The sequence below is a fragment of the Homo sapiens genome, chromosome 10 (genome assembly GCF_000001405.40).
Source record: "Homo sapiens chromosome 10, GRCh38.p14 Primary Assembly".
Lineage (NCBI taxonomy): Eukaryota > Metazoa > Chordata > Mammalia > Primates > Hominidae > Homo > Homo sapiens.
The window spans coordinates 102,230,073-102,251,473 of NC_000010.11; the positions used below are offsets into that span (position 1 = coordinate 102,230,073).

Genomic DNA, 21,401 nt, shown 5'->3' on the forward strand with positions numbered 1-21,401 from the left:
TGAGTCCCTAGAAGCCTGGACCCTCACTTCGTTCCTGTACATCCAGCTCGCCTGTAGACAGTGGGGGAGGATGAAGGGAAGAGGACTCAAGCGCAACTTTGAATCATCACGCCTTCGACAGTCCGCGCACGTTTATTTCATTTATCTTTGAAAACGAGGGAGGGGAAGCCTGGAGAAGGCGGGATGGGCCAAGGGTGAGTTGGCCCCCGGGGAGCTGGTCCCTGTTCCTGGCTTTAGTCCCAGGGGCGCGGTCTGTGTGTAGGGCCTAGTCCACCCCTCAGGGCTGGGAGGGGAAGGCCCTCTCCTGAGCCGGTGCCCCCCAGCTGCCCAAACACCCCTTTCAGACCCTGGGGCGGGAGCAAGCCAGTCAAAATGACCCCAGTCCGCGGAGGCTGTGAATCGTTGCCCCCGCCCTCGGGGATGATCTACGGGCGGGGCCGCTCATACGGGCCTTTCCACGGCGTACTGGCACGGACTAAGGTTGGCTGCCGGGGGCGGCCCGTGCACAGCGGGGTAGCTGAAGGAGGCGTGCTGTTTGGCTTTGAGCCGCAGGCTGGCCAGGCTCGAGTTACACGGGTCCCGATAGACGTAGGGGGAAGAGGCGGCAGCCGCGGCGGCGGCGGCGGCCGAGGCATAAGGGCAGGACACGGCCCCGGAGGACACGGCGGCCGGAGCCAGCCCGGGGGGGCCCCCGCCCAGGCCCTGCAGGGCCCCAGGCCCTGGCACGGTGCCCGGGGCAGCCGCGGCGGAGGGCACCATGGAGGCGGCGATGGAGCTGGGTGGCGAGAAGACGGGCTGCGAAGCCAGAGGCCCCACGTTGACCGAGTTGAAGGCGAATGGAAAGGTCTTGGCGGCGAGCGGCGGGGCAAGAGCCTTGGGCGGCCAGTTGCCGTACGAGTAGCCGGGGTACACCTCCTCGTAGGGCGGCACCAGCCCCCCGAGCGGCGCCGCGAAGCTGCCTTTGCATAGCTCGGCCTGCTGGCTGCGCTCGCGCTTCCGCCATTTGGCGCGCCGGTTCTTGAACCACACCTGCGGGCACGGGAGAAAGGCGGTCAGGGCCCGGGGCCGGGTCCCAGCGGCTGAAGGGCGGGCCACCCCGACGGGGCTTCCAGCCGGGGCCCTGCGGTCAATAAACGAGATGAGGTGGCTAGAGACGGGGTGGGAGGGAAGGAGCGCACGGAGTCCGGGGTCGGAGAACAGAAGGCGCGGGCGGCTGGACCGAGTCATCGGCGCCAGGGTCTGGCGGGACAGTAGGATGGGGTTGAGGAGGGGTGGTGAGGGGAAGGAGAGACGGTGTCAGGGCCGAAGAAGCGCGCGGTCCGAGTAGTAGGGAGCAGTGGGAGCAGAGGCTGGAGGTTGGCGGGCAAGAGACCGCGTGGGGCTGCGGCCGGGAGCCAGGGTCCGGGGTCCGGGGTCCGAGGGAGGGGGCAGGTGGGGTGGAACCGCTGGCCTCCGGGTCGCAGGCTGAGCGCGGAGGGCCCGCGCGGGTGCGAGTCGCGGGTCTGGAGAGCATACCCGCACGCGGGCCTCGGTGAGGTTGGTCCACACGGCGATCTCCTCGCGCGTGCTCATGTCGGGGTAGCGGTTCCTCTGGAAGGTCGCCTCTAGCTCCTGTAGCTGCTGGCTGGTGAAGTGCGTGCGCTGCCGCCGCTGCTTCTTTTTCAGCGAACCGTCCTCTGGGGAGCCGCCGGGCAGCGAAGCCGAGGCCTTTTCTGAGTCTGGGGGCCAGGGTGGGGGCAGGTCACAGAGCGCCCAAGCCAGCGCATATTCTCCGGCTCGGGGACCTCCTAAGCCACTCGCTGGCTCCCACCGGGGCTGCCCAGCCGGGGTCCCACCCGCACTGGGGATGAAGCTGTTATGTCCTGCACCCCCGGAAGGGGGCGCGCTTACCGCTGTGCTCCTGGCCCTTGCAGCCGTGCTCTGGGAGCTGGGGGTGCGGAGTGCCAGCGTCTGACAGCGACAGGGCAGGGCTCCGGGCCTCTGCCTCGCTGAGCAGGCCGAACTCCATGGAGGGAGGGCTCTGGAGGCGAGAGAAGACACAGACCAGGGTAATGGGGGTAAAATCTCCGGCTTAGCTAGGTCCCAGCAGCGTTTCCTCGTAAATTCCCTGGCGCCTTTCTCAACCCCAGCCGTAAAGCTGGGGCTGCGTGGGGCTCCTTAGGATAGAATCGGGAAATAGCATCCTAAGGACGCAGAGGTGCATGCTGAGAGGTTCTCTGCATAGATATATAAACTAGACTTCGTTTCGTTTACTGCTGGGAACTAGAACTGTGCCAGGTATACAGTTGGGGTTCAATATTTATTGAATTAATAAAAATGTAGACTATAGGCCGGGCGCAGTGGCTCACGCCTGTAATCCCAGCACTTTGGGAGGCCAAGGCGGGTGGATCACCTGAGGTCAGGAGTTCGAGACCAGCCTGGCCAACATGGTAAAATCCCGTCCCTACTAAAAATACAAAAATTGCTGGGCGGGGTGGCACGTGCCTGTAATCTCAGCTACTCGGGAGGCTGAGGCAGGAGAATCGCTTGAACCTGGGAGGCGGAGGTTGCAGCGAGCCGAGATGGTGCTACTGCACTCCAGCCTGGGTGACAGAGCAAGATGCTGTCTCAAAAAACAACAACAACAAAATCTACACTATAGCACGCTACATACCCTATACTACATCTGCAAAAACTTAAAATCCTTCTCACCTGAATGCTTAGTATCCCCCTATACTCATACATGGTCCTCAGCCAATCATACCTGAGACACAGACCAGATGTCTGTTACCCATTCTCCTTAGGACAGATTGTATTTTGAACCAGACCTGATATTTCTCCCTTAAGAATAATGTATACTTACTGTGAGCCTTTACCTCATTCTCTCTCCCCTCACAAGAATACCTCAAGTATGATCATCCTTTTTCTGCTGAGGAAACCGTAACTTGAAGGAACTTGATGAGGCTCACAGAGCTTGTAAGCAGTGGGATTGAGATCTGAACTAGGTCTGTGAGACTCCTAATGCTTTTTCTTTGTTTGCTTTTTATTTTTCTTTTATTATTATTTTATTTTTCTGATCCAGTCAACTCAGAACGCTTGTTTTCTCACACTGTGCTTTCTGGGGCCTTCCCTCGAGATTCGCTCAGGGACTCAGCTGCGGTTCTAGCCTGGCCTTGCTTGGGTCGGCTTCAGCTAGGGCAGCGCTGCTTTGGTCTGTTTCGTTTACGACTTCTTTCTTTTTTTTTTTTCCTTCTTTTTTTTTTTTTTTTTGAGATGGAGTCTCGCTTTGTTGCCCAGGCTGGAGTGCAGTGGTATGATCTCGGCTCACTGCAACCTCCACCTCCAGGGTTCAAGCTATTCTCCTGCCTCAGCCTCCCATGTAGCTGGGACTACAGGCACGTGCCCCCACGCCTGGCTAATTTTTGTATTTTTAGTAGAGACGGGGTTTCACCATGTTGGCTAGGCTGGTCTCGAACTCCTCATCGCAGGTGATCTGCCTGCCTCGGCCTCCCAAAGTGCTGGAATTACAGGTGTGAGCCACCATGCCCAGCCTGTTTTGTTTATTATTTCTGAAGAGATTTCATTTGAAAGAAGGTAACAAGATCAAACACAAGTATAAAAACCACTGGGTGCTTGGGCCGGGCCTGGTCTCATGCCTGCACCGACACACACTGCATCCCACCAGTGACTGCTCCACTCATGGACAGCCTCTACCAAGCCTGCTCCAGGCCATAGGCAGGAGCTTCATTAGACCACCTTCCTACTCATACTTCCTTTCCCAAACTTAGCCTCACATTGCCCAGGAGCCTCCCAGGGTCCTTCTCCAAGTTTCCCCCGCAGGGTCCCCTTTTCTGCCTGCTCTCCCAGGACCCCTCTGCTGCGAGGAAGGGAAATGGGCAATACTGGGGCTCAAGACTCTGGGTGCCTTTTGGTTGGAGGAGAACAGAAGGAGGCTAGGGACAGAGGGAAGGGGTAGAGAGCTGAGTGGGAGGGGCCTCTCTGCCTCTCTCACCCCTTCCCCATTAACAGGGGCTTAATGCAGGCTGCACAGGATGGCATTAATGTGGTGGATTAGCCTAGATTGAGATGTGTGTCACTTGGCTGCTCTGGATTTATTAGGAGCCTTTCTCAGGGAGGTGCAGATGGGCAGCAGCCTGTATTTGCACATGGTAATGCCCCCTTCAACAGCTCAGAGATCACAGCTGTGCCCCCACTCCCCACCCCACCTCTCAAGCCAGGTTGGGAGTGGAACCGAGGTCAAGGCAGGAGGTTGAGAAAGAGTCCCTGCTCTTTCCACAGGCAGAGGGGTCTAGATCTTGGACCTTTTATTGGGTGTGAAGAGACAGGGCTGGAGGGAACCCAGGACAGGAGAAAAGTCAGGCCAGAACTGGAGGTGTGCTCAGCTTACTTCCCCTTCCAGGTCGGGTCAGGTCAGGGGGTTTGGAGCTGGAAAACTTTGGCCAACAATGCTCTGATGGAAGGGAGATGTCCCTGAGAAGGAACTATGGTAGCCTTGGCTGGGAAGATGAGGGAGGAAGGGTTAGAACTGAGAGTTGGAAAAAGGGGTGCTCTGAAGTCTCCCCTTACTTCATACCCCTTACTTCATACCCAAGATGCCCTTGAAATGCAAATCATCCCCCTGACTTTTCCAGAGGCCATGGAAGCAACATGGAGCTGGGAAAAAACCCAGAGAGGGGTTTACCTGTGGGAAAAGCAGTCCCACCCTTGCCACCTAGCCTTCCAGTCAGCTTTGGCTCCCGACTTGCAGTTTTCCAAATTACCCTGTCCCCGGCATTCCATACCTGCATCTTGCTTTCACTTTATTTCAGCAGAGGGAGGCAGGGTGAGAAGGGATATGGGCGAGGAAAAGCCGAGGCCAGAAAGCCGAGTTCAGGCTGCGTGTTCCCAGAGACAGACAGACACATGTGCAGACACACACAGGCCCCCACTCAGACATAATAAGCACTTGGACTTGGAGCTAGGGGCACACAAACACACACTCTCCCACACATGCGCTGCCACATCCAGGCAGACAGACACGTACCGTCACACAGTCTCCTCTCTGTGACAGGGACAGCTGCCGGGGCTGTTTTGGAGCTAGCCATTATTACCCTTCCCCCACCCCCCACCCCCCCACCGCCTCCCTGGCCCCTCTGAACCTCAGCTCTCAGTCCCAGGAGCTAAGGACTCTGTGTGGGGGAGGAGCAGGCCAAGGGGCCAGGGGAGTGTTCTGCACTGGATGCTGCTGAGTGAGGAGAAGGCATGAGAATGCTGGAGCTAGAGGATGGGGTGGGGAGGAGGGGCAGAAAGTGCCCAGGCCCCTCTCAGGAAAGTCATCTGGTATAGCCCAAAGAAATTAGGTTTAGAGTCAGCAGATCTAGATTCACGTCCTGGCTGTACAACTTACTAGCTGTGTGTCCTCGGCAAGTTACTTTACCTCTCTGAGCACATTTCTTCATCTCCGAAAGGAAGTTCATGATCCCTTCCCTACTTGCCTTCAGTGTTGTTATAAGGTTTAGATAAAAACATAAACATGTAAATATGAGTAGGGATAAAACTCTACCTGAGTAGTTTTTTTTCCTCACTCATTAAACAAATGTTTATTTAGCACATTCTATGAGCTGGGCATTGAGTTAGGCACTGAGGGTGGAGTGGTGGCTAAGATCTCATCCCTGTGTCTGCCCTTCCTTGAGTGAGTCATCTGCCCAGACTCTGTATCCTCCAGTGAAGTGTTTCCCTGGTGAATGAAGGTGAGTACGCTGCATTACTGAGAGATAGGCAACACATGCTGTGAACACTCTGTCCTGAGCATAGGTGACCCAGTCAACAAGGTAACAGCAAAATGGGCAGAGTAACCCAAGCTGGGAGCCACTTTGGGGACAAGGGACTGGTAGAGGAAAGAATGAAGCCTTTAGGCTCTTGCATGGGCTAGTAACAGCAGAGAGAGGAGCCACAGCTGAGAAGGGACCTGACCGTGAAACTGAAGAGAGAAGGAAAGAACAGTAAAGCCAGGCAGGCAATAGAGAGATGGAAGGGTGGGGGCATAGACCTCTAGCCGACTCACGTCCGGGTGGGCTGGTCAGGCAAAGGCTGGGGGCGCCAAGCTGTTGTCTGAGCTGGAGACAGGCTGGCTGAAGATTAAGCTCCCCCAAACTGCTGGAGGTCAGGAAGCTAGGGAGTTGGGACTGAGGCCAGGGACTTCGCCTCACTCAGTGGATAGGGAAGAACAAGCAGTAGGTCTGGAAGCCGCAGGATTGGTTGATGCTAGTAAGAAATGCCCAGGCAGGGACAGAGAGAGTCAGAAGATAACAGTGATGGTGAGTCCAGCTCTGGAAGGGGGCTGCCGGCCCCACCCCTAGACTTTTTGCCACACCCTGCTAGGGATGTGAGGGATGTGTGGCCCAGTCCCACTGGTATCAGGGTGGCAATCCCAGGCCCAGGGAGTACAGAGGGCCTACAGGTATGCTCTGATTCTGTAGTACAGGCTGGAATTACAGGAAGCCTGGTCATGGACTGCAGCAAGAATGAAATATCCAGGACATATGAAGGTGGAGAGCAGATCCCAGGCCAGGGAGGCCACAGTGGGGAGGCCATGGTTTCCAAGAGACACAACCCCATGGCAATAAGTCAGCTGTCATGTGGACCCACTTAAGTCCTGAAGCCAGAGAGGTAGACCAGGGACATAGTGAGAGCCCACAATCGGTTGCAATAATAATGCCTGAGGCTGGAGGCATAACCTGGAACTCAAATAGGAGAAAACCTTTCTCATTCAGGGGCTAAATGGAGAGATGAGAGGAGCTGGAGTTGTGATGTTTTCATCTTATAAACATGAAACTGAAGTGAGGTCCTTAAGTGGACATGGCTGCATGTTCATTAGGGACGCTGAGCACCCAGACTCTATGGTTTGCTGAACTGCAGTGTGCAAATGGGAGCAAATCGAGACACATTTGCAGCAAAGATTTGAAGCACTCAAGTTATTAAGGGACGATTCGGGGATCAGAGAAATGACTCCACAGTCTTCCTGCTCTTCCTTGCTTCCTTCCTTCAGCAAGTATTAGGTGTTAAGAGGGATCCCAAGAACAGTAAGGCAGAGACCCTATCTTGTAGGAGTCTGCAGTGTAGGGAGGCAAACAGAGCACAGGATGGAAAGATGGACCGCATGGGTCTGACTCCCAGACTGTGGGAGATCAGAGAGAGGGAAGCCCATGGAAGGTGGTACCGAGTGTTGGGAGCTCAGAGAATATAGGCACGTGACTGAATTGGGAGTTCAAGAGGAAGAGAAGGGGTATGGCATTCTAAATAATCAGCAGTGTTGGGAATAAGCTGGCAGGCTGGGAGGGCAGTGGTGAGCCTAGGTTAGTCAGAGTCTCAGTGTAGGCCACGGGAGATCTGCAGAGAGAAACGAGTCAAACCGAGGGGGCCTCCAATGGGGGACAAGGGGCAGTGGTTCAGATTTGACAAAGTCTAGGCTACAGTATGTCCAGCTTTTTCATCAAAAACCGCTAAGATTCACACTGAGCAACAGCCCTGAATAAAGAAAAAAACCCTAAGACCAGTCAAAAACAACATCTACTAGAAAACAGAAGCATGACCTGAAACAGCTGCCACTAGTATGAAATTGTTTTGAGGTCACCAGCTTTATGTTAAAAATGCAAACAAATTTTTCGTTCTATTCCATACTTTAGTCATGGATTATAAAATATTTTAATATAAAAATAAAGCTTTTTTTAATATAAAACCCCCCAATCTTCAAGTGATATCACCACACCAGGAAGATGGGCCCTGTTTAGACTGTGTGTCATGCCTCCTCCACTCCCGTACTGCCCTCCTCCCCCGCCCACCCCACTATGAGAAGCAATGCACCAAGCAGTAGGGGTCACTGGAGGCTTGTATCCAGGGGTGTGACAAAAAACAGCATCTTTGTGACCTTTATTTGACCATGGTGAGCATAAAGGGTTGGGCAGGGAAGAAATAGGAAAGGAGAAACTATTAACTGAAAGGTGTAAAAAAGGCCCCGGGGCAGGACAATGGGAAAGGAGAGATAGAGTTTTGAAAGTTATTCCTCTCTGTCTTCCCCCAACTCTTACCCCACTGATGATCTTTTCCTTTTCCTCCCCATCATTCTTTTCATGAGTCCCTGGCAGTGGCCATGGACACCCTAGACACCCCAAAGCTCAGGACCTAATGGATCCTTCAGGTTAGTCTAGGAGGCATCATTTAGTGTGAATGGAGAAGAAAAGATTCTACTGGCCCCATCCTTCAGTCACCACAAGTCAGCTCTAGCCTGCTGCGTTTGCCCTCCCGTCCTGAACCTGAGTCCTGGGCCAATGTTCCCATCCCTGAGCAGGAGGCAGGCAGAGATATTTGGCCTGGTAGACAGGCTGAGCATTTGGGGAGCTCCCCAGAGTTCTCAGACAGCGGCAGGGGTAGTGGCCAGCATCTGAAGTCCACGATAGGGTGGCCCGTCTGTCATTAAGATCCCTCCTATGGCTGCATCAGGGATGAGATTAGGCTGCTCTAAGTCTCAGCCCCACTTTTCCAAACAAAGATTCTGCAGCTTGGGCATAATAATAGCAGTGCTTCTTATTTATATGATGCTCCTCCATTTGCAGAGGGCCTTCACAGACATAATTTCATTTAACTCGCACAACTGCCCTGCATGGCTGGAGTGCCTATCCCCATTACACCTCTAAGAAGGCAGGATGCAAGGTTACACAGTTTGAAGAGATTTGAAGAGATTCAAACCATCTAGTTCTGCTCTTTCCATGCCTCACTCCCTCCACCCTGTAGCCATTTGTGACTCTGACATGTGCTGATCCTTCCAAACCCTGAAGGATTCCATTTCTACTTCCTGCCTCTATCATCTCTCTGGAAATGAGCTCTGGAAGTATGCTGCCCACTGTGTGCCAAAGAACATTTTTCTATTCATCCTGAGCTTGCATCACTCCAGTTCTAAAAGGCCCCCTCATCTCCAGTTTCAAGATTTGGGGAGCAAGCAATTCTTCTGCATATCTAGGTCTTTTATTATGCTGTAGATTTCCATCCTGTCTCACCTTCCAGAGGACTAAACTTTGAAATTTGCCCTCACCAGCAACCCCTGGCTCCCCATTCTGCCAATCATTCTCTGACCCTACTCTAGGCCCATGACATTCTTCCTAAGAGCCAGTGACCAGGCATGCGTTCAGTTACAAGGCTTTATGCAAGGGTGGGAAAAGGTTCTGTCTTTTGTTTCCAATCACCTTCATTATGATACCACCTCTTTGGCCTTTTTGGCAAAAGCCAACTTTGAGCTAAAGTCTTCAGGGAACCATCTGTAATGCTTTCCCTGTTCCTTTCCTGACACAGAGTCCTTCATTTCACCTATAATTTCAGTGATTTTATGGGAGCACAGCAATGGGAGCACAAGCCCCTGAAAAGTGTATCAGAATGTGATGGGGATAATTGTGGTGTGTCTTTATATTGATCAAAATAGGGCAAATGAAAAACAAAAGTTGAGAATCCTAGCCAGTAATAAGCAAACTTTAGAACTGAGGAATGGACATGGGAGTATGGGGAATACGTATTGTATGTCACTCACAGGTGAAGGGTAAGAAAGGTTGAAACCACTGTTTAGATTACTCATTGCTAAATACAATGCCTTGCACTTGTCCTTGTGAAAACTCAGTCCCCAGCTGGGCTATCTTGCTCACTTATATGGACTCGTTCTCCCTGTTCTGTCCTCTTCAGCATAATTGAGCTGTGGTTAGAATTGGGGTCAGGGTGGATGGTCACTGTATGGGCCCAGCAGAGTCAGGGCTGTATCCCAGCTGCAGGGAAAGTAAACCCGGCTGTTAGGTAGGGCCAAGATATCCTTCCCAACCAGACTGAGAGGGCCAGATAGCCCCCTGTTGGACTCCAGAGTCTGGATTCCATGAGCCTCCTTCCCACCTCCGCTCAGCCACCAGGGTGGTGTTGGGACTGGTAGGGCTGAGGAAGAAAAAGGGAAACAGGACCACAGGATTTGCTTTGCTAATGGGGCTGTAGTTTTCTCTTCTGGCCTGGGCTCCTGCCCACTGTAGGGAAGGAGCCATTGGTCGCCTGATACTCCAGCAAGGAGTCTGGGGGGTGTCTGGTTAATTGTATTGGAATTAGGGGGCAACTGAGGCTGCCAGGGGCTTGTACCCAGCTCCTTCCTGTTTTCCCATTGCCTTTTGTCACCTATTCCTTCCTTTCCTGGTCTTGATTCCCACTAGCAGGCTCCTCATTGGCCTTCTGTCCTCAAATTTGGATTCTGGAAGTACAGAGTGATGCTCTGATCTATTCTGAATTGAAGGGGGCATGTGTCCCAGCCCACCTCACCCCAAGGCCAGGTTGTAGCCTTTACTCTCGCTCCCTGCTCACAGCTTCGCAGCCCGAAGGAGCTGAAACAAGTTTGCAAAGTGTGAGCTGGGATTTGAGGTGACCCACCGCAGCCGACCCCATCGCACACGCAGCAGCTGGGCAGGCGCTGCTGGGTAGACGGACATGCCACCCAGCCAGGGACATTCTGTCCGCCACTGCCAGACACAACTCCCGCTCCGGAGAGACCCACTTCGCTACCCGGACATTCTGTCCGCTCCGAGCCCCATGCACCGCGGACATTCTGTCCGATTCTGAGGCGGCCTCAAGTCAGGACCCTTCTGGGCCCAGACACCCCAAGCCAGATCCACTATACCCGCCGCCTGGTCACTCTGATCCGCACAGCGGCCATCTGACTCAGTCGCGGCCGGGCTCTCACAACACAGCTCCTATTCCAACTGCGGAGCAGCTGGGAAGAGAAGCGTGTGCGACCAGGCGCACCCCGGCTCCCAGCCCCAGGAGTCTGAGCCTAGGCCGAGGGGCATCGGGCGCCGTCAACTGCCCCCACACTGGGGGCCGCCCCGCCAGCTCCCCCGCTGGCCAGGGCCTCTGTAACCCCTTTCGCTCCCTGGCCGCCTGCCCCGTGCCCTGGGATTCCAGGGCGCTTTCTGGTAATGGTTTCCAGACTCCCTACTCCCTGCCTCGCGAAGCCCCTATCCTGGTTTCAAGTCTCCGGCTTCGTTCCGGATCCTCTGAGTCTCCCCCTTCCCTATCCCCTGGTTCTTACCCTGAGTTTCCCTTTTCCCAAGTCCTGGCCCCAGGTCTGCAGTCCGCCCTCCCATTCTCGACCTGTTCCCAAGGCACCGGAGTTCAGCTGCCCCAGGTCTCGTTTTAGGGATTCCAAGGTCCAGCAATAGCTCCTCGGCCCCATGAGCCCCTGTCCTTAGAATGGTCAAACACTCACAGTGCGTCCTGCAACAGGCAGACTCCCAGTAGCGGCGGCTGCGGCGGCGATCTAGAGGGCAGGCAGGGGCCAGGGGCCGGGCACCCGGCCGGAGTGGGGGCCGCCCCCCTGCTCCCGGGCCGCCTCTCCGCTCGGGCGCTCCTGGACTCTCGGAGGGAGTGAGCCTCACCGCGTACTGCCACCCCCAGCCGGCGCCCATTCACTTTATGGCAGACCAGGGCGCCCCCAGCCCGCCGCGGCGAGCCGCGCGCGTCAGGCCCCGCCCCTTTCCAGCTGCCCTGCTGGGGCTCCGCCCTTTCCAGCTGTGGATCTCCAGGCCCCGCCTTTGAGGGAGGGGTCTGGCCGGCGAGACGCCAAGAACCCCGCCCTCTGGCCAATCAGAAGCGCTCTTCAGCAACTCGGCCGCGCCCCTCCCCACGTGGCAGAGACCGCGCTCCGGCTAGGACGCTTAGGCAGAGCCAAGTGGGCGAGAGTAGAGTGGTCCCGGTAGCCACGGGTAAAAGGGATCGGCTGGCAGCGAAGTGGGTTGGGCCGCTACCCCGAGGAAAGTGGATCGGCGCCAGGTGGGAAGGCGCACGGGGCCGCCGGGTCTCAGCGCTCAGACTTCTCTGCCACTCAAGTTTCGCCGATTTTCTCCACTTGTCGCTGTCCGTCTCTCCTCCCTTTTGTCTCTGTTCCAATCCTCCCACGTCTCGCCTTTCTTTCCTCTTCTTTCTCCTCAGCCGCTTCGCTCCTGCTGTTTACCATTCTCCTTCCTCTGCCACTTTAAAAGACTCATTTCTCTTTCTCTCTGCTCCTCTTTCCTCATATCTTTCCTCTTCTTCATTTCCCCCTTCTTCTCCAAGGAAGGTGACTTCGTGGAGACAGCAGGGTTTGGAATGATACAAACCAAAGTAGTATTCCAACGCTGCCACGAACTGCACCATCACTGAGTGAACTTGGACGAGTAACTATCATCTCCCTCCCCGCGCAAAACAATTAAGAGGAGGTTCCTGCTGGATCTCAGGGCTTGGGCTGGGCACTCCAAAGGCATTGCCTTTCAGTCTGTACCCTTGTCTTGCTTAGGCTGTGCTCTCCCTCCTTCAGCAGGGCTGGTTTCCCGCTGGTGGTACCAGGTTAAGTCCTGTGGGCAAGGTGTGGCCTTGGTGCCTGCTGGTTAGGAATTTGCAAGGGACAGGACAGATGACCAAGGAACATCCTGGCAGACTGTGACTTCGGCCCTCTCTGACTTAGGCCTCAATTTCCAGGAAACAGGCTCCTTCTCTTCTCCCAGTTAGGCTATGTTGCTTGGGTGCTCCGAAGAGCCTAAGCCCAGGCCAAACACTGTGGCTCATGCCTGTAATCCCAGCACTTTGGGAGGCCGAGGCGGGCGGATCACAAGGTCAGGAGATTGAGACCACCCTGGCTAACACGGTGAAACCCCATCTCTACTAAAAAATACAAAAAATTAGCCGGGCTTGGTGGCGGGTGCCTGTAGTCTCAGCTACTGGGGAGGCTGAGGAAGAAGAATGGCGTGAACCCAGGAGGCAGAGCTTGCAGTGAGCTGAGATCGCGCCACTGCACTCCAGACTGGGCGACAGAGCAAGACTCTGTCTCAAAAAAAAAAAAAAAAAAGAGCCTAAGCCCAGTCACACAATATGCCCCTAAGGCAAATCTGAGCAGTCATGTCTTGACTGTTCAGTGACTCCCATTGCCCTTAGGATAAAGGTCAAGCTCCCTAGCCTGGCATACAAGACCTTCAGGACCTGACCTTGTCTTCATCTCCAATTTCCTAGTAGTGTCCTGCACACCTCTGGCCCTTCCTGTGAAAGTAACCCATCTTTATATTGTCAATTCCTACTCCTCCAATGTTCCACTCAAGTCTTATTTTCTCTGGGAAGCCTTTTCTGAACTCTCAGTTTAGCCCCTTGCTCTCATGACCCTCAGTGTATACCTTCTATTACACCACCCACCATATTGAAGGGATCAGCTTATGTGTTGTCTGCTATGATAATAAAATTTAGGAGGGTAAGGACCATGTCTGTTATTCCCAGGCATAATGTAGAATCTCAATAAATGTCACACTGAAATCTATGAGGAAGATGTTCTGCCTGGTAAGATGATGATTAGTGGTTAGGAGGGACTAGGGAATTGTCATCTCTCTCCTCCCCATCTCTATTGCACAATCACATGCTTTTAGAATGATGAATTTCTGGAGGTATGTAGAAGTAGATATTGGCGAGCAGAAATTTTTGGCCCACTTAGAGGATTTTCCAATCGGCTTTCCAGGACCTCTCAATCTGAGACAGGCCCAGGACACCAACTCTCAGTTTTCAAATGAAGAGGAAAATGGCTTTGAGGTAATGTGGAAAGAGGTGCTATGATGGTATATCCTCTTTCCCTGACTCTCTTTGGGTGATAGAGGCTAGATCCTCAGCTGGACCCACCGACCAGAAGCCCAATGTGCAGGTGTAGGAAGTTACTGAGGGGTTCTTCACGTCTGATATCTGATGGGTGCTTTACACTAGAGCATCGTGGCCAGGTGTGGTGGCTCACACCTGTAATCTCAACACTTTGGGAGGCTGAGGCGGGTGGATCACCTGAGGTCAGGAGTTCGAGACCAGCCTGTCCAACATGGTGAAACCCCATCTCTACTAAAAATACAAAAATTAGCCTGGTGTGGTGGCAGATGCCTGTAATCCCAGCTACTTGGGAGGCTGAGGCAGGAGAATCACTTGAACCCAGGAGGTGGAGGTTGCAGTGAGCCAAGATCACAGCACTGCACTCCATCCTGGATGACAAAGCAAGACTCTCTCAAAACAAACAAACAAACAAAAGACAAAAAAACAAAACAAAACAAAAAAATAGCGCATCGTAGCACACGGATGGTCTTTGGATGTCTGGTTTTGAGACTACTTTCCTATGTGGTTAGTTATAGAGCTTCCCTGGACTTGGGTCGTCCATAATTGGGAGGATGTATGGAAAGAATTAGGTATTTTTTTTTCACTGCCTCCCAGCAGCTTCTCCAGGTCTGCAGGGACACTGGGGCTCTAGTGTCCCAAATAGGCTGGGAATTTCATGATTCAGTCTCCTAGGAGAAAACCCATCCTCTTGTCCTCTTCTCACGCATTCTCACTTCCAGGTAATACAGGTAATTCTAAATAGCTTAGTAACCTCTATCATCTCTTGCAAGGGGAGGAGGCAGCTGGGGGCAAGACAGTGAAAACAGGTGGGCATCCAACCCTCAGGCCCCTTAGCGTTTCTAAGGCAAACAAGAAAGACTTCTGTTTCCTATCACTGATGAGGTGGGCTAAGCTGCGTATTTAGCCTGGTGGATAAGGCCCGTCAAAGGCTTGGTATGAAAGGCAGACCGGGAGTCAAAGCCCGATATACTAAGGCATAAGAGGTGACAAAAGGCGATGAAAAGAGTTGGCCTGGGGGTGAGGAGACCCAGGGGTTCGTCTCTCTGCTCTGCTATTTACTAATTATGTGAACATGGGCCCAGCCTTCCACCCTGGGGCTGTTTCCTATAATGTAAAATGAAGAGACTTAAATTAGATATCCAGGGCTTCTGCTACGTCCCATTTTCTCTATTTCTGGATGATGGGAGTGGGGCAGAGGACGCTGAAACAGAGTTGGGACGTGACAGACATAACTGTGAGAAGCCACGACAGGGAAGGTGGACAAGAGGGCGAGGAGAGCAGGGTGTGGAATAGATCGCTGGACTTGTTTTTAGAATGAAGGGAGCCCAGAGCTGCCTCGAAAAGGAGTGATTCCTCAAGGGGCATGGTCTTGGCCCAGGTAACTTTGATAATACGTGGACAGGGGAGTAGGGATGCCCGCTCAAGTTCTCAAAGCGGACCCCGCCCCTTTCCAGCCAATTGTAGCCTTTTTCCCCATAATGCCCAGCAGCCACTGCCAAACCGCGCACTGCAACCGAACTCTACCTAACTCCACCTCTCTAGCCGCCCAGCCCAGTTCCTCATTTTTTATTGGTTTTTTAAACTGTCACTCAGAGAGTACTCGTATCCGTTGGTTGTCCCCTAACATACCCTTTCTTTCCCTTGTAATCGCGCTTCTTTAGGCACTACCCGCCTCCTGAAGCCAATTTCCTTTATTCGATTGGATAGTCGGAATGCTACTTTTCACGGTGCAAAGCTATGATTGGCTGCGCGCGGCAGGGCTCGCGCAGTTACCAGGCAGCGGGCTAGACTGAGGCTAGTTACCACGTCAGTGAGCTGACAGGGAAGGTACCCGGCTCTACTGCCCGTCCCGGACGACTCATCCTGGCGGACTGTGCAGTCCCACCCTGACTTCGGCCTCAATTTCCAGGAAACAGGCTCCTTCTCTTCTCCCATCTGCTACCAGAGCCGGGAGAGCTGCTCGGAGACGCCTCCGGGGTGCGGGCTGGACATGAGCAGCGGCTGCCGGTCCTGGGACTAGGCCCCGCCATTTTGGATCCGCTGACAGGTCAGCGAAGTCTCTTCCTAGAGTTCCGGTGTCGTGAAGGCCGCCCTGACATCGCAATAGGGAATTAGTGGGAAGGGCCCTTAAATTGGGCGAGCCAAGGTGGGCTAAGGACGCAGCGGACAGGAATAAGACGAGGGAAGGGTTGTTGTGGGAGGGAACAGGGAGGTATGCAGGGGCAAAGGTCATGCCTCTGCCGCAGGAGGGGCGATTTCTGCTCTCATTACTGATCCTTTGCAGGTGCCCAAATCTTCTGTTTTCCCAGGCTTGACCTAGTATTTAGCTTCTCCTTTCCAGCGCTTTCTGCATCCTGAAGAGCCCAGTACTCAAAAGCTGAAAGCAAACCTAAGGAGCATTGTGTCTACTTTTATGGGTTTTCAGACTTTAGATGTGAAAGTCTCTCTAGATTCTGTACAGCGTCTACTTCTTTGTGATTGCCTCACTAATACAAAGGAACTGCTTCATTAATAATGATGAACTAGTGCACCCTAGAATCAGGTTGTCAGCAGAGGGACGTGTGGAAGGCTTGAGGTTATAGCAGCGCAGGGAACTGGGCTATGAGAAGGCTTCCCTCTTACAGGACAGCTCAGCTGCCAGTCTGGGTCTGTATGTAAACACTATACTTATCTTCTGGGCCTGTTTGTTCCTTTATACAATCTTTCACAGGCATTCTTTTGTAGTGTATGTTTTTGTTGACATTTTTCTCTCAGATCTTCACTAAGGAGATGAGGCTTAATCATAAGGAAACCACTCTATTATGACATATTTGACTGACAGCAGAGAGAGATATTTGAATACTGGCAAAGTTTGGTATTGTCGGCCTATTATGTTTAGTGGGCAAAAAGAGTCATGAGAGATTTTCAGCCAATTGTAGGGTCAGAGCCCCAGAGTGAATGATGGAACATAACCCTAGAGAGTAGTTTATGGCACTGTGATGACCTTTGATAAACTGCTGTGTTGTAAAGCTATAAAAGTCCACCAAGGGTAACGAATGCTTTTAGAAATAAGGAATAGTGTAGATGGTGTTTTTTAATGCACAATGTGGAAACTTGTGCATTAATTCAGGTATAAAAGGCACTCTAGGCCCTGTGGAGGATACAAATGGAAAGGTCTGCTTTGGGACTGCTCAGTTAATGCACTTCTTAAAAGTAGTAGCATGTATGTGCAGTGGCCTAGCTAGAGCATGTAGTAGGTTAAGAGCAGGATCAACCTAATACCTTTTGGTATGTAGTGGGCACTCAATAAACGTTATCTCTATCTGGGATTAGTTTCAGTATGTGATCAGGACTTGTGGCCTGCTTTTGGCCCTGGCAGTCAGGAACACTTTGCACTTTTGCATGATGAGGTAGTAACAAGGAGGATCAAAACCTCATAGTGTCAGAAGAGAAAACTATTTAGGATCTTGGAATGACTAACTCAATTTTTCCTACCTTTGTCCTTATGAAATTGAAATTTCATAATTTCCCTTTTCCCTTCCTACCTTCGTCCTTATGAAATTGAAATTTTTGTGTGTGTTGGGAGAAGGGGGATGGCATTATTTATGCTTCACCTGTGTTGATTTAGATGGAAATGGTACAGGAAACTATTTGCATTTTAACTTGCTGATCTAAGTTGTAGAATTCCTCCCCTCTCCCCGCCCCCAAGAAAGTAGTTGAACGCAGCAAATGAAATGACATACCTCAGGAGGTACCCAGGTTTGATGATCCTGCCTTGCTCACTTGGGCCATTGCCCTGTTGAGTTGATATGCTTTGCATAACAGGCAATCTAGTCTCTGGGTAGGCAGTGTGATCAATCCAGGATCCAGTCATCCTCAGTTGAGCCTAAGGGTGACTATAGAGGCATCAAAACGTTTTCTCTTTCTCTCTCTTTCTTTTTTTTAATCCTAAATGTCATTTCTAGATAGGAATAATTTTCTAGATAGGAATAATTCCCACTCCTACCCACAAATCAGAAAATTCATCCTTCAAATACAAGTCCCAAGCTTGTATTTGAGCTTCTTTTTAATGGTGTTTGTAGACAGTATGTTCCAGTCTTGACAGTGATGCTCATTGGCACAGTGGGAACTCAGGCTATAGACATATCTCCTCAGTAGCTGGGCACCAATCCCAGTTTCAGCTCAGAGTTCTCAAAGTTACACTACTATTTTATTTCCCTCTTTTCCAGAAGTCAGGATGACTGCCACTTTCACATAATAACCTCATTGATAGGGTACTTAGACTGGCTGCTGTGGGCAGCTAAAGAGGAAGAAGACACAGCTCTTGCTTTTGAGGAGACTCTATTTATAGAGTACTCACTGCAAGGATCACCCTAATCTTTGTATGACACTTCTCATTGATTGATCACACACTATATCCCTGTGGCTCTGTGTGACTGATTAGAATGATTCTGTTGTTGGGTTAATGGTGGGATTGAATTTAAGGGTGTATGTTTTTGTTGACATTTTATCCTCAGGCTAGAAGAGCTATGTAAATATAATGAGCTGCTGTTTAGCTGTTACTCTTTTTTTTTTTTAATATTTCAGTATGTTCAACTGCAGTTGTTTAACTAAATGAAAATATAATAAAGCAGTGTGCTGATTTGGAACCCCAATAATAATAGAAGTGATCATAGAAGTGATTATTTGTTCTAGTAGTAGTGGAAATTACGATAGATGCAATAGTAGTGTAAATGATCATGGAAGTATGATGGCAAAGTAATGGTTTGCCAATCATATAAACCAGGGGTTACGAGCTCATGTGCCTAAATGCCAGGCAGGTAATGTAAATGAGTTAATTGAGTCCCATGGGAATGTATTAGGATTAGTGGGGACTGTTGTGTACTGGACAACCCATGCCTTTATTTTTTTTTTGTCTTTAATTTTAATTTCTTTTTATTGAGACAGGGTCTTGCTCTGTCACCCCGGCTGGAGTGCAGAGGAACGATCACAGCTCACTGCAGCCTTGACCTCTGGGCTCAAGTGATCTTCCTACCTCAGCCTCCCAAGTAGCGGGGAACACAGATGTGCGCCATCATGCCCAGCTAATTTTTTAATATTTTGTAGAGACAAGGTCTCACTGTATTGCTCAGGCTGGTTTCGAACTCCTAGACTCAAGCAGTCCTCCCACTTTTGCCTCCCAAAGTGCTGGGATTTTAGGAATGAACCACCATGCTCAACCCATTCCTTTATTTAGAAGAGCCAACTGCTCCTTTTTCAGCAGATTGTTACTGTTTTAGAGTGCAGGCACAGAATGACCACTCTTTCTATTTTTCAGGAGAAACTGGAAATTTAGATCATTGTGTTTTCTAATTGTTGGAAACTAGTTAAAAGTATTTTTAAGCCTTTTTCAGGCCAAAGAAAATATGTCTGTGGACTGGATTCTGCCCAATGGTTACTGGATGATGACCCTCAATAAACAAAATGGGCAGGCCTTATGAGACTTAATCACTGCAGTTCTCTATACATAATCACATAGACTTTTTTTCTTTGTCCTACTCTGCCAGCTGTCACCTTTGTACCTTGGGTGCCCTGAGTGGCTAAAAGATGGAGTGAGATAGAGAAGGTTTGTTTTATTTTTCATCTCCAAGCTGGCAGAAGGGACAGCTTTGGACATATTAGTAGCTTACCTTGTAAACGGTTTTTGAGATACTCTCAGAATCTCCACAGGGGGAGGAGATGGCATGCTAGAGCTGAGGTACCCTGGTCACCCGATTATCAGGTCTGGGAGGATTTTCCAGTGATGCATTGTCAGGGCACCAGCTTTTTTCCCAGTTTAACCTTCTTTTACTTCCACCCTTTAAGTAAATTTCTTGAGCTCAGTAAGTTGTTTCCTAGTTTAGTAACTTTGGTTATTCTCAATAAAGCACAGAACTATGATGTGTTCCTAGGCCAGCTCTGGAAATGTTAAAAGCTCTGCATCTTTAGTGTTTCTCTGGCTTTTTTTTTTTTTTTCTCTGATGGAGTCTTGCTCTGTTGCCCAGGCTGGAGTGCAGTGGTGTGATCTTGGCTCACTGCAACCTCCGCCTCCTGGGTTCAAGCAATTCTCCTGCCTTAGCCTCCCAAGTAGCTGGGACTACAGGTGCACGCCACCACACCCAGCTAATTTTTGTATTTTTAATAGAGATGTGGTTTCACCATATTGGCCAGGCTGGTCTTGAACTCTTGACTTCGTGATCCGCCCACCTCGGCCTCCCAAAGTGCTGGGATTATAGGTGTGAGCCAATGCGCCCAGCCTTCTCTGGCTTTTAAAGGTATTGAGTGAACATAAACCTTAGAAGGGCCTATTGCTGGTCCTTTAGCTCCCTACTACCATCTACCTTTTCAGAAAGTCCATCAGTTTTTCTTGGTTTGCCCAGCTCTGTATTAGACACAAAGGCATCATGAAAAAGAAAAACAAAATTGCGCTTTTGCCTTTGGAGAATTTATTTGCTAGTTGGATAAGAATAATTTTTTTTTGAGACAGAGTCTCTCTCTGCCACCCAAGCTGGAATGCAGTGGTGTGAGATCTCGGCTCACTGCAACCTTTGCCTCTCAGGCTGAAGTGATCCTCCCATCTCAGCCTCCTGAGTAGCTGGGACTATAGGTGCGTGCCACCACGCCTGCCTGATTTTTGTGTTTTTTGTAGACACAGGATTTTACTATGTTGCCCAGAGTCCAGTGGTGTCATCATAGCCCATTGCAGCCTTGATTTTTTTTGGCTCAACTGATCCTCCTACCTTAGGCTCCCTAGTGGCTGGAACTACAGGCATGTATCACTATGTCCCACTAATTTTTTTTTTTTTTTTTTTAATTTATGTTGCCTAGGCTGGTCTCTGACTCCTGAGCTCAACCATTCCTCCTGCTTTGGCCTCCTAAAGTGCTGGGATTAAAGATGAGAGCTACTGCACCTGGCCAAGGAAATGTTTAAAAGTGATTAAGAGGCCGGGCGTGGTAGCTCATGCCTGTAATGCCAGCACTTTGGGAAGTCAAGGGAGGCAGATCACCTGAGGTCAGGAGTTAAAGGCCAGCCTGGCCAACATGGTGAAACGCTGTCTCTACTAAAAATATAAAAATTAGCTAGGCGTGGTTGTGGGCGCCTGTAATCCCAGCTACTCGGGAGGCTGAGGCAGGAGAATCACTTGAACCCTGGAGGTGGAGGTTGCAGTGAGCCGAGATTGCGCCACTGCACTCCAGCCTAGACGACAAGAGCGAAACTCTGTCTCAAAACAAACAACCAAACAAACACAAAACCAAACCCCATAAAAGTGATTAAGAAAAAAAAAAAAACCACTTAAACACTAGTGTACTAAAAACAGCTATTTAGAGCCAAAGAAAATAAGGCATATATGAAGAATTGACAGTTACATTAAAAATTATATATTTCACAAAAATGTGAATGTGCAAATAACACTTAAGGAGATGTCAGGAAGATAGACGTGAAAAAAGAAGCATTATGATATGGCTGGTAGGTAAATGTGGGTTCTTTTTACCTGTATGGAAGGTTTGTAACTTCTGGTAGAGAAGCAAATATATATTATCAAAAAAAGGTTTGCCAGTGTGGCTCAGAGTTATTGTCTTCTATGAAGTCATTTTTCTCATGAGGTGGATGTGTGCTGTACCACTCTTGAAGAGTCAGTCTTGATGTTATTTCATTTGTTCATCTAGTATTTATTGATCATTTTTCTTACTATGTGTCAGGCTTTGGAGATAAAAGGGTAAATAAATCATGGTCTTTCCCC

At 50.8% G+C, this 21,401-nt stretch overlaps 2 protein-coding genes across 39 annotated transcripts in view, besides 5 other annotated features; one reads left to right on the forward strand and one right to left on the reverse strand.

Moving 5' to 3' along the window:
* On the reverse strand, positions 117–11,440 carry PITX3 (paired like homeodomain 3). 2 transcript variants are annotated; one of them, NM_005029.4, is made up of 4 exons: positions 11,261–11,440; positions 1,891–2,020; positions 1,516–1,718; positions 117–1,029 (listed from the first exon to the last, which is right to left on the reverse strand). In NM_005029.4, exons 2-4 carry the CDS (start codon positions 2,006–2,008, stop codon positions 442–444), a joined length of 909 nt encoding a protein of 302 aa, NP_005020.1. In that variant the 5' UTR covers positions 2,009–2,020; positions 11,261–11,440; the 3' UTR covers positions 117–441. The 2 variants fall into 2 exon arrangements, with proteins under 2 accessions (NP_005020.1, XP_047281308.1); XM_047425352.1 differs by lacking the exon at positions 11,261–11,440 and having other exon boundaries at positions 1,891–2,328.
* Positions 311–570: a silencer, noted in NCBI's record as "silent region_2752". NCBI's record gives its function as "represses an Ori minimal core promoter by ATAC-STARR-seq in GM12878 lymphoblastoid cells {active_cell/tissue: GM12878}" and the evidence as "EXISTENCE:reporter gene assay evidence [ECO:0000049][PMID:35858748]".
* The window catches only part of GBF1 (golgi brefeldin A resistant guanine nucleotide exchange factor 1), a 152,254-nt gene continuing 131,423 nt past the window's right edge, over positions 571–21,401 (forward strand). For 34 of the 37 annotated variants that reach the window (NR_165086.1, NR_165089.1, NR_165088.1 and 31 more), the window contains exon 1: positions 15,460–15,709. The gene's annotated coding sequence lies outside the window, so the exon portion shown is untranslated. Of the gene's footprint in view, positions 845–15,459; positions 15,809–21,401 lie in introns of those variants that run through there. The other 3 variants (NM_001391924.1, NM_001391923.1, NM_001377141.1) reach the window with 3 other exon arrangements.
* Positions 581–680: a silencer, noted in NCBI's record as "silent region_2753". NCBI's record gives its function as "represses an Ori minimal core promoter by ATAC-STARR-seq in GM12878 lymphoblastoid cells {active_cell/tissue: GM12878}" and the evidence as "EXISTENCE:reporter gene assay evidence [ECO:0000049][PMID:35858748]".
* Positions 11,302–11,591: a silencer, noted in NCBI's record as "silent region_2754". NCBI's record gives its function as "represses an Ori minimal core promoter by ATAC-STARR-seq in GM12878 lymphoblastoid cells {active_cell/tissue: GM12878}" and the evidence as "EXISTENCE:reporter gene assay evidence [ECO:0000049][PMID:35858748]".
* Positions 15,208–15,267: an enhancer, noted in NCBI's record as "active region_3925". NCBI's record gives its function as "activates an Ori minimal core promoter by ATAC-STARR-seq in GM12878 lymphoblastoid cells {active_cell/tissue: GM12878}" and the evidence as "EXISTENCE:reporter gene assay evidence [ECO:0000049][PMID:35858748]".
* Positions 15,468–15,917: an enhancer, noted in NCBI's record as "active region_3926". NCBI's record gives its function as "activates an Ori minimal core promoter by ATAC-STARR-seq in GM12878 lymphoblastoid cells {active_cell/tissue: GM12878}" and the evidence as "EXISTENCE:reporter gene assay evidence [ECO:0000049][PMID:35858748]".